This window comes from Homo sapiens, chromosome 5, assembly GCF_000001405.40.
Source record: "Homo sapiens chromosome 5, GRCh38.p14 Primary Assembly".
NCBI classification, from domain to species: Eukaryota; Metazoa; Chordata; class Mammalia; order Primates; family Hominidae; genus Homo; species Homo sapiens.
Genome location: NC_000005.10, coordinates 178,071,946 through 178,083,685, shown reverse-complemented (window position 1 = coordinate 178,083,685; position 11,740 = coordinate 178,071,946). Strand labels below are relative to the sequence as shown.

The 11,740-nt window shown below is 50.7% G+C and overlaps 1 long non-coding RNA gene across 1 annotated transcript, besides 3 other annotated features; it reads left to right on the top strand.

The window, feature by feature from the left end:
* Positions 1,337 to 2,009: a transcriptional cis regulatory region, noted in NCBI's record as "candidate enhancer chr5.4886 targeted for multiplex CRISPR interference". NCBI's record gives its function as "positively regulates DBN1 gene expression in K562 cells {active_cell/tissue: K562}" and the evidence as "EXISTENCE:mutant phenotype evidence [ECO:0000015][PMID:30612741]".
* LOC124901147 (uncharacterized) lies at positions 5,416 to 8,578 on the top strand. Its single transcript, XR_007059076.1, has 2 exons — positions 5,416 to 5,679; positions 7,486 to 8,578. It is a non-coding gene; the product is annotated as an uncharacterized LOC124901147 (long non-coding RNA).
* Positions 7,351 to 7,600: an enhancer, noted in NCBI's record as "active region_23733". NCBI's record gives its function as "activates an Ori minimal core promoter by ATAC-STARR-seq in GM12878 lymphoblastoid cells {active_cell/tissue: GM12878}" and the evidence as "EXISTENCE:reporter gene assay evidence [ECO:0000049][PMID:35858748]".
* Positions 8,790 to 8,979: a silencer, noted in NCBI's record as "silent region_16708". NCBI's record gives its function as "represses an Ori minimal core promoter by ATAC-STARR-seq in GM12878 lymphoblastoid cells {active_cell/tissue: GM12878}" and the evidence as "EXISTENCE:reporter gene assay evidence [ECO:0000049][PMID:35858748]".

The following is an 11,740-nucleotide window of genomic DNA, read 5'->3' as shown; positions in this document are numbered from 1 at the left end:
TTCATCCAGGCCCTGACCACATGCACATCCTCCAGAGACCCTCGCTTGTCTCCCTGTTGGAAAGTGCTCCCTGCTTCCCTCCTCTGGCCACCCACAAAGCCATTGCTATCCCTTATCAGCCCTTTTCTACATACACATGCACACATGCACACACATGCGCACACACACGCACGCACGCATACATGCCCACACACATACACACGTGCGTACACACACACATCCCTTACCAGCCGCTTTTACACACACACACACACACACACACACACAGAGCTAAGCATCCGCTGTGTAGATGCTGGGGAAGCAACTAGGGAAATGACCTTTGGGAGTGTTAAAGAAAAAAGTGAGGGTGGGCAAGGTGGTTCACATCTGTTATCCCAGCACTTTGGGAGGCCAAGGCATGAGGATCACTTGAGCCCAGGAGTTCAAGACCACCCTGGCCAACATGGCAGGACCCGGTCTCTACAAAAAATTATCCAGGTGTGGCAGCGCATGCCTGTAGTCTCAGCCACTCTGGAGGCTGAGGTGGGACTATCGTCTGAGCCCGGGAGGTCAAGGCTGCAGTGAGCCGTGTTGGTGCCTGTAGCAAAACAAAACAAAACAAAAGTCATTCAATAATACTTGTTAAAGCACAGTAAAGGTTGGGTGCACACAAGGTAAAGGCAGGGCTCACGCCTGTAATCCCAGCACTTTGGGAGGTCGAGGTGGGTGGATCACCTGAGGACAGGAGTTTGAGACCAGCCTGGCCAACATGGTGAAATCCCATTTCTACTAAAAATACAAAAATTAGCTGGTCAAGGCCGGGCGCAGTGGCTCACGCCTGTAATCCCAAAACTTTGGGAGGCCGAGGCGAGTGGATCACAAGGTCAGGAGTTCAAGACCAGCCTGGTCAATACGGTGAAACCCGTCTCTACTAAAAATACAAAAATTAGCCGGGCGTGGTGGCAGGCACCTGTAGTCGCAGCTACTTGGAAGGCTGAGGCAGGAGAATTGTTTGAACCTGGGAGGCGGAGGTTGCAGTGAGCCAAGATTGTGCCACTGCACTCCAGCCTGGGTGACAGAGTGAGACTCTGTCTCAATAATAATAATAATAATAAAATTAGCTGGGTGTGGTGGCATGTGCCTGTAATCCCAGCTACTCGGGAGGCTGAGGCAGAGAATCACTTGAACCTGGGAGGCGGAGGCTGCAGTGAGCCAAGATCGCGCCACTGCACTCCAGCCTAGGTGACACAGTGAGACTCCATCTCAAAAAAAAAAAAAAAAAAGAAAAAAAAGCACAGTAAGGCAGACTTTATTCAGGACCATGGAGATAGACACAGGAACTGCTGGAGTGGGCTCTTGCAGTTGGGGAGAGAGACTGGGCTCAACTCCCAGTACAGCATGGGCGAGTGGGGGGTGATAGCCAAGGAGCAGGGTGGGGGCCAGGGGATGGGGAATTACTAAGAGCAACATCAGGGGTCGGGGATTCTAGCTAAACTCACCTAACACGATTCTAGCTGAAGACAGGCTAGGGTGACCAGACATCACCAGAGGGGTGATGGGGAGGAGAAGCCTGACCAGATATCAAGGGTGATCAGATATGGAGGGTGGGGGGTTTCTGCCACAGTGAGCTAGCAGGGTTCTTGCTAAAACTGGATTGTATAAGGAAGCACACAGATGGGTCTAGGAGAAGCCTCAGGGGCCCGACTAATATTGGGTCAAGCAGAGTCCTTGTCAGGAGCCTCCGGGTGACTTGTCTGTCTGCACACCTCAGGGGAGGAGAGGCCCCTGACCTGGGCTACCAGGCCAGACTGAGAATAAACTCCTCTACGGAGAAAACATTCAGCAACCTGTAACTTAAAAGAGGACTTTCCAGACTGCGAAAACAACCAAAGCAAGGTCACTGCGTCTGAAGGGGCGTGGCCCACCTGGAGCCCAAGGCAGCCTTCCCTTCTGGGAAGGCGGGGAGGGAGCTGAAAGGGAGCAGAGGCTGACCACAAACTGTCCTGGAGGCTACGCTCAAGACTTTTTTTTTTTTTTTCTGAGACTGAGTCTGGCTTTGTCACCAGGCTGGAGTGCAGTGCCGCAATCTCAGCACACTGCAACCTCCGACACCCTGGTTCAAGCAATTCTCCTGCCTCAGTCTCCGGAGTAGCTGGGACTACAGGCATGTGCCACCACACCCAGCTACTTTTCGTATGTTTAGTGGAGACGGGGTTTCACCATGTTGACCAGGATGGTCTCGATCTCCTGACCTCGTGATCTGACCACCTCAGCCTCCCAAAGTGCCGGGATTACAGGCGTGAGCCACCGCGCCCTGCCAAGACTTTTGTTGACTCCAGCATAATTGGAAAACCAGTTGAGTTTTTAAAGCACAGAGGTTACATAATAAGTCTGTATTTTGCTAGAATGTAAAACCCATCAGGGCAGGGATTTTGGTCTGTTTTATTTCCAGAACACCTGGTAATAACTGAATAAACAATTGTGTAATGTATGAGTGAGCGAATGAGTGAATGGGCTGCAGGAAGGTAGATCATGCTGGCCACAGTGCAGAGATTGACTTAAGTGGGCAGAGTCTGGGAAGGGAGGTCAGGAGGCTGGGATACCAGGAGAGAATGAAAAGGGCCAGTTGGTGCAGAGAGCAGCCGGGGACAGACTGGAGGGGACAAGTGGAGAGGTTTAGAGGTGACTTTACAGTGTACTTCATACTTCAAAAGTCTGGCACAGACTAGCCATTTGTGGACATTCTAGATCTGATCAAAAGCAGAACCACCTGGCCCTTGACTCCAGCAACACCATGGCTGGCCTGGAATTTCCTCCCCGGCAACGGTCGTTCTCACAGCATTTCTTCCCAGTTTACTTAGAGCTTTCGCAGACATTGCCTCATCAGATCCTTATCACAGCCCTGAGGATGGGGACTCATTAGCTCCATTTTACAGACTCAAAAACAGAGGCCAAGAAAGGTTATGTGACTTCCCTGGGGTAACACATGGGAAACATGGAATTCAGATCCAGGTCCACCAGTCTCTGCCTCCAGGGTCCTTTCTGCTTCCTCACTCAATTGGAGAGATGTGATTAGCAAATGTGAAAGAGAGCACCAGGCAGCGTGTGGATTCAGCATGAAATGGGATATTAAGAGTGATATTAATAATAATGCATGGCTCTGATGTTCATCAAGCACTGCTGTGTGCCAGCTTCTACTCCAAGCACTTGACCCGAGTCCCCTCATTCATTCCTCAGACACTCTTTGAGTTTGGTCTGTCATTCTCCCCATTTTACACGTAGTACTGGCCAAGCACGTGAGGGACACCACTGTGGGCTTAGCCACCAGGGAAGGCCTCAGAGAGGACGTAAGATGCGGGCAGGGGAGGAAGAAGGCACCTTGAGGCAGGCTTGGCTTGAGCGAAAGTGTGGAGGAGTGGGTGAGAAAGGAGGGGAGAAGCCAATGGGTGCATGAGACAAGGCCCTGGCCTGCGTGCTCTCCAGGAGGGGCCAGGCCTGGCATTGAGGTCTGGCCACAGTAAGTCCCTAGGGCAGGGGCTGACAACAGGGTGATGAGGGTGCCCTGGGCTTCGGTGAGGAAGAGGGGTGGGAGAGGGAGACAGCTGGCTGGTCAGGGCACTGCGGGTTGGTTTGGAAGTCCTGTGCTCAATCTGTCCTCCCACCCCAGCCTCCCAAGTAGCTGTGACCACAGGCAACGCGACCACACCCAGCAAATTTTATTTATTTATCTTTTTGAGACAGGGTCTCACTCTGGTTGCCCAGGCAGGTGTGCAGTGGTGTGATCTCTGCTCACTGCAGCCTCAACCTCCCTGGCTTAGGTGATTCTCCCACCTCAGCCTCCCAAGTAGCTGGGACTACAGACAAGTGCCACCACACCCGGCTAATTTTTGTATTTTTAATAGAGATGGGGTTTTGCCATGTTGCCCAGGCTGGTCTCAAGCTCCTGGACTCAAGCAATCCGCCTGCCTTGGCCTCCCAAAGTGTTGGGATGACAGGCATGAGCCACTGTCCCGGCCAGCACCCAGCAAATTTTATGTAGCACATTTTAAGATGCCAGTAAACCAGAGGTTGCACACTGGTGCCCATAGGTTTGTTTTGTTTTGTTTTGTTTTGTTGTTTGTTTTTGAGATGGAGTCTTGCTCTGTCGCCCAGGCTGGAGTGCAGTGACACAATTTCGGCTCACTGCAAGCTCCGCCTCCCGGGTTCATCCATTCTCCTGCCTCAGCCTCCCGAGTAGCTGGGACTACAGGAACCCACCATCATGCCTGGCTAATTTTTTTGTATTTTGAGTAGAGACGGGGTTTCACCGTGTTAGCCAGGATGGTCTCGATCTCCTGACCTCGTGATCTGCCCACCTCGGCCTCCCAAAGTGCTGGGATGGTGCCCATAGGTTTTTGTTTGCTTCACAGTGTTGATTCATATAGTGTGTTGTGTTTGAAAAATTAATTGAGACCATCCTGGCTAACATGGTGAAACCCCGTCTCTACTAAAAATACAAAAAATTAGGTGGGCATGGTGGCACGTGCCTGTAGTCCCAGCTACGTGGGAGGCTGAGGCAGGAGAATCGCTTGAACCTGGGAGGTGGAGGTTGCAGTGAGCCGAGATCGCACCACTGCACTCCAGCCTGGGTGACAGAGTGAGACTCTGTCTCAAAAAAAAGAAAAAAAAAAAAAAAAAGAAAAACTAATAACCAACTCAAAAAATCAACATTTCAAATCCAAACCCAAATTATACTGATTCCTATTCGAAAACGAGAGGATCTGGGGATGCAGGGCCTCACTTCTGCATGGCAGCAATTGGCTGAAACACCTCTTGGCTGCAGTCCCCACCACTCCGTATTGCTACGCTCCACCCGTCTCACTCACCCATGCCGCTTGCTTGGCCCCCTTAGGCATTGAGTTTGCAACACCCAGTTTAGATGAACTGACGCATGATTGGAGAAGGGACTAGACTGTCTAGTGATTTGAAACTAGTCATATGAGGACCAGCTGGAGCAATGGGGAATATTTACCCGCTGGGGGCTTGATCACGGCTTTCTCATTCAAAGGGCTAAGACAGAGAAGAGGTCAGATCGGTTCTATACCACCCCCGCAAAAAACTAGAACCAGTGGACGTGCGTGCAGGGAGCGAGGAGAGGAGGCAACAGGGAGGCAGATTTACTCTCAAACTGAGGCAGACTTTTGAACATCATAACCGTTTCAAGATGCAACAGTCATGTCAGGGAGTGGCGAGCTCCCTCGCACAGAGGTGGGGGCCGTGTTTAGGCTGAGCCTGGGCAGCAGCTTCACCACAAATGTTTACAGAAAATCCAAGTGTTACGTGGGCAGCTGAACTGGATGCCCTCTGCGGTTTCTCCCAGCCCTCTAGGGCCGGGCTCTGTGCCCACAAATGGGATGCCAGGGTGAAGGAGAAGGAAGAGCTAAAAATGACTCCTCCACTGCTGGCCTGGAAGCCTGGAAGATGCTGCTGCTGGTGTAAGCGAAGAACTTAGGATGAAATTGATTGGTGGGAATGGCAGGAGAAGATTTTTTTGTGATACAGTGTCAGAAAAGCAAGGAGTTTGGGTCAGACCAGTTACGTCTTTGAAGCTTTCCACGTGTCTGTGTCTTCCTTGGAGCACCTCCCAGTGTTGTCAGGAGGATTTAGAGAAAACAGCCTGCCCAGTGCTTTTGCTTGACTAGCAGAGACAGCTGGATAAAGGTGAGTGCCCCACCCCCACTCCAGCCTGAGAGACCCTAGGGTTCTGGAACTGTGAAGTGCCACGCCTGAGTTCTGCTCCTGCCCTGGTGGCCGAAGTCTGACATCCACTTTCTGTCTGCTGGAGGGAAAAGCATGGTGGATGACCTCTAGAGGCCCTGCCAGCTCTGGGCCACTTCAGTCCTGACAGGAACCTGGGTGTCCAAGCTCTGTGTCCAAGAGGGCCAGGCTGGAGGCCGGAGCAGTGGAGTTGGGAGGCCTGGAGGCAGCTCCTTCAAATGCGCGTCTGCCATGGGAAAGGGAGATGCTCGGAGCTCACTTTTTGATATGGTTTTGACTTTCGAATCATGAACATTATCTTACATACTCAAAAAGTGCAGTTAAACCAAAAAAGGAAAAAACAACAACCTGAAATAGAATACAAATAGAAAAGAAGCTGGGAGCGGTGACTCACACCTGGAGTCCCAGCATTTTGGGAGGCTGAGGCAGGCAGATCACTTGAGGCCGGGAGTTCAAAACCAGCCTGGCCATCATGGTGAAACCTCATCTCTATTAAAAATACAAAAATTAGCCAGGCATGGTGGCACACATCTGTAATCCTAGCTACTAGGGAGACTGAGGGACAAGAATCGATCCAACCTGGGAGGCGGAGGTTGCAGTGAGCCAAGATTGTGCCACTGCACTCCAGCCTGGGTGACAGAGCAAGACCCTGTCTCAAAAAAAAAAAAAAAAAAAAAAAGAAAAGAAAATGATGCTAGGTATGGTGACTCATGCCTGTAATCTCAGCAAGGCCAAAGCAGGAAGATTGCTTGAGGCCAGCAATTCAAGACCAGACTGGGCAACAAAGCAAGACCCCCATCTCTACCAAAAAATGAAAATAAAAAGTTAGCCAGGTGTAGTGGCATACACATGTAGTCCCAGCTACTCGGGAGGCTGAGGTGGGAGAATTGCCTGAGCCTGGGAGGTCAAGGCTGCAATGAGCTGAAATCGCACCACTGCACTCCAGCCTGGGTGAAAGAGCGAGATCTTGTCTAATCTGGAACTCCCGGGCTCAAGTGATCCTCCCACCTCAGCCTCCCAATCTGAAACTCCTGGGCTCAAGTGATCCTCTGACCTCAGCCTCCCAACGTGGTGGGATTACAGTCATGAGCCACCACGCCCAGCCTCTTTATTTTGACAAGGGCTCACTCTGTTGCCCAGGCTGGAGTGCAGTGGCACAATCTTGACTCACTGCAGCCTTGACTTCCCGGGCTCAAGTGATCCTTGTGCCTCAGCCTTCAGAGTAGCTGGGACTAACCCAGGTGTGCACCACCATGCCTGGCTAATTTTTAAAAATTTTTGTAGAGACAGGGTCTTGCTTTTTTGTCCAGGCTGGTCTTGAACTCCTGGGCTCAAGTGAACCGCCCATCTCGGCCTCCCAAAGTGCTGGGATTACAGGCATGAGCCGCTGCACCCAGCATGGTGGTGTATTTCTGAAATAAATGATTGTGTGTGTTTTGCAGGCTACATATATTTTTGTGATTTTGAAGAACAGTGTTATTTGTCTGAGCTCGCTGGGATGGCTCATAGCAAAGCAAGCATTTTAACAAGTAGATACCTGGCAAATGACCCCCCAGCATGTGGGATTCAGCTGGGCTGGAAACAGCCCCCGCCTCTCAGCCCCAAGGCTGTTGTGGGTCGCTGAGTGGATAGCACCCCCTGCAGGACAACGCTTGCCAAGTGCCTGTCCCTGGAACATCGTCTAGCATGTTCATTACAATTTACAATTTTTCTAACACCAAAAATTGGATCCTCCTCTTCCCCCGTCAGGTTTTATGGGAGGCGATGTCGGCATTCGTAGGGCCTGTGCCTTTTCTGTGACTCAGTGATGGGCCAGTGGAAACGGCCGTTTCCACAGTTGGACAGAACGAGGTTTGTGTCCTGGTGTTGCTCACAGACGTCTCAACCAGACGGAGTCCGGACTCCACCACGTGGCAATAACGAGAAGGTAGCTCTCGGGGCGGTGGTGGGTTGAGATTAGATACATGAAGAGGCTGTCCCAATGTGAGCTGGGTTATAAACCCAAGAGAGGGGGCATGGGAGCCGAGGAGGGGACCGCATCAGAGGCCACCAGGCTGAGTAGGGCGGGCTTTTCACAGGGGCCTGGGTCACGGCTGTGATAAGCCCCCCGTTGTGGAATGCAGAAGGCCATGGTCTCTCAGTGAGTCGGGCAGGGCCATGGTGCGTGCCCAGGTCTACTTGACTCCAAGTCTTGTGTTCTTTCCCCTGTGGGACCTTCAGGGGTTTTGCAAATAGAGGTCCCACTCTCCAAGGGCTTCCTGTTGCACTGGGCAGAAGGGAGGGTAGAACCTGCCCAGCTGCGTCCTCTACTCTGAGCCTTTCTCTGCCATTTCTTCACCAGATGGCAGCTTCCTGCCTGGGAATGGAGAACTCGAGTGGCCACCCAGCATGACAGGCAGCCTCCCCACCCACTTAACCTCATGGGAGGTCCTGTGAACCCTCCACCTCCATCTCACGGGGCCTGAAGCCCACAGGGGGATCCTTAAGCAGTTGGAGTGGGTCCTGGGGCCAGCCCAGGGCTGGCACGGGGTTCGCATTTCACTTCTGGGCCATGGCAAGCTCTGGTTCAGAGCCTTAGCTCGGCAGCAGCCCCTCTGCACCAAGTCACTTGGCCCCTGCCACAGCATCACAGCCTGGAGCCCAACAGGATGAGCCCAGCTCATGCTTCTGAAGCACGGCTATTCTGACAGCCCTGGTCTTGGTGCTCATCACTTGCTTCTCACTGTGCTTTACAGGCAGAATGGGGACAAGAGCTTTAAGTTCTATCATTGTGATTCTTTTTTTTCTGCTGCAGTCCCTTATATGTAGCCTCCGACCAAATACAACTTTTGCCTTTGTGCTATTGCTGGAATGCAAAGCTTCTACTTCAGATGAGCGCTGAGAGCCAACAAGGTTGAAATGGAAAAGGATTTCCTCAATGTCTTTAGCTCCCGGGTCAGGTAGACAAGCTCGGAGGTCTTCAAACTGGGGGTACACAGGTTTCTGGGTGCACAAAGTCTTTCTAGGAGGGAAGAAAAATAGGTTTTGCTACTTTATTGACTAGTGAAAAGCAGCATGGTGGGGTGTGGCTCGCTTCTTCAGTGCTGCCTCTGCTCAAACCTCTATGGGTGCATACAGATGGGCAGGCTGTGGAGCTCCGACCCCACAGCACCGTCTAGGGGTGAATGTTCACAGCTCCTGAAGCCCCAGTGGGCGTGTGTACCATGTGCTCTTTCAGTTTAGCCGCCCATAGATGGTTTGTATTAGTCACAGCTCAATTAGACCCCTGCCTTATCACAAGAACAAAGGGCTTTCTGTGTCCTGTGGTCCTTGCTTTGGTGTAGCGGAAGAATTGGATCACACATGGTCTTGGTGAATGAGTGCAAGGTTTTATTGAGTAGAAGTAGCTCTCAGATGGGGGAGCCAGAAGGGAGATGGTTTTCTCCTGGAGTCGGGCCACTCGGTGGCCCGAGATCTCCTCCAACTGCCCCAGCCAAACGCTACGTCATTCTACCAGTCGATGGCCTGCCAGCATGCCTGTCGGTGTGTTCCTCTCCACATCCAGCCTCCTGTGTGTCTTCTGGCTACAGTCTTGGGGTTTTTTCCAGGCACAAGATAGGGGTGTGGCAGGCCAGGGTGGTCTTGGGAAATGCAACATTTGGGCAGGAAAACAAAAATGCCTGTCCTTACCTAGGTCCGTGGGCACAGGCTGGGGGTGGAGTCCTAGCCAGGGACCATGAACTCCTCTACCCAGCACTTCCTTTCCCCTCTTCTGTATCATTTAAAGGGACCACACTCTTCCCTTCCCAGCACTTCCCTTCCATATCACTAATATATGGAATTAAAAAAAAATTTTTTTTGAGGCGGGGTCTCACTCTGTCACAGAGGTTGGAGTGCAGTGGCATGATCTCGGCTCACTGCAACCTCTGCCTTCCAGGTTCAAGCGATTCTCATGCCTCAGCCTCCCAAGTAGCTGGAACTACAGGCATGCACCACCATGCCCAGCTAATTTAACACCTGGCTAATTTTTGTATTTTGAGTAGAGACGGGGTTTCGCCATGTTGGCCAGGCTGGGTTCGAACTCCTGACCTCAGGTGATCCGACCGCCTCAGCCTCCCAAAGTGTTGGGATTACGGGTGAAAGCCACTGCGCCTGGCCTAAAACATTTTTGTAAAAGATTTATCTATGATTCTTAGCTGATGTATCTTGAAAATTTGGGTAGTGCCAGAAAATATTGCAGTGATACTGGATGGTATGTTTACATTCCAGTGACAGGCAGAGCTTTAGGGAATCAGTTTCCAGGACTCAACTTCCATATGTCTTCTTGCCTAAAGTTGGCCAGGCTGGAACAGCATCTGAGGTGACAGTCTCTCTTCTCCATGATGCCTGCCCCAGATGTCACTGTGTGGGGTTGTCCCCCTTTGATGAAGTTCTGAAGGTAGGGGCATGGGAATGAGGTTAGGGAATTCAACGCAATTTTTTTTTTGAGACAGGGTCTCACTCTCTTGCCCAGGCTGAATACAGCACAATAGCAATCATGGCTCACTGCAGCCTCAGACTCCCGGGCTCAAGCAATCGTCCCACTTTAGCCTCTCTAGCAACTGGGACTCCAGGCATGCACCACCAGGCCCGGCTAATTTTTTAATTTTTATGTTTATTTTTGTAGAGACAGGACCTTGCTATGTTGCCCAGGCTGGTCTTGAACTCCTAGGCTCAAGCGATTCTCCTGCCTCGGCCTACCAAGTAGCTGGGACTACGGCCGTAAATCACCATGCCCGGCTAAGATGGCAATTTAAATTTAGTTCACTGCTTTGCATTTCACACCTCCTCTTTTGTCTAGAAATGCATCTTTCTGGAGGGAATCCCCTAAGAGCAAAGCCAAGAGAGCTACATAGAAAATACCAGCCCCTTTGGAAGCGCTTCTGTCCCTGTTCTCAGCGCTCATCTTAGGACGCGTCCTTAGCAGGACAAGCCTCAGAGCATCGGGAGCAGCAGAGGGTGGTGGTGCTGAGTCTTGCGTGGAGCCGGCCTGTTCTCTGGGAATACCAGCGTTTTCAGACATGTTGGCTGGAACTCACAGATGATATTTTTGTGAGATTTATTTCAGATGCTGTGTGTTAGTCAAGAACGGAGCCAAACTCTTTCGTCAAATCATATAATGGAATATATATATTTTCCTTTTATTTCATCTTTAAAATGTTTAATATTTTCTTTAAATGAAAAACAATTAAAATTTTTATATATTTATTTTTTGAGATAGGGTCACCTGGACTGGAGTGCAGTGGTGTAATCATAGCTTGTTGTAACCTCGAACTCCTGGGCTCAAAGTATCCCCTCACCTCAACCTCTTGAGTAGCTGGGACTATAGGCACTTGCCACCACACCTGAGTTTTATTTTTTATTTTTTTTGTAGAGAGGAGGTCTTGTTATGTTGCCCAGATTGGTGCTTAAACTCCTGGGCTCCAGTGATCCTCCTGCCTTGGCCTCCCAAAGTGCTGGGATTACACACATAAGCCACAGCCTTCTTTGCTTTGCTCCTAGGGGATTCCCTCAAGAGGAATGCATTTCTAGACAAAAGGGGAGGTGGGAAGTCACCCTGGATATAAAATATTTAATATTTTCTTTTCTATTTCTGTTATAAAAAGAGGCCAGGCATGGTGGCTCACACCTGTAATCCCAGCACTTTGAGAGGCCGAGTAGGGCGGATCATCTGAGGTCAGGAGTTCAAGACCAGTCTGGCCAACATGGCGAAACCCTATCTCTACTAAAAATACAAAAATTAGCCAGGCATGTTGATGGGCACCTGTAATCCCAGCTACTCGGGAGGCTGAGGCAGGAGAATTGCTTGAGCCTGGGAGATGGAGGTTGCAGTGAGCCAAGATCTCACCACTGCACACCAGCCTGGCCAACAAAGTGAGACTCTGTCTCAAAAAAAAAAAAAAAAAAAAAAATCTGGTGGTAGTAAGAAACTGTTTCAATACTTAGATTTCATTGGGTCCATTTAAAAGATGAATGAAATAGTTTT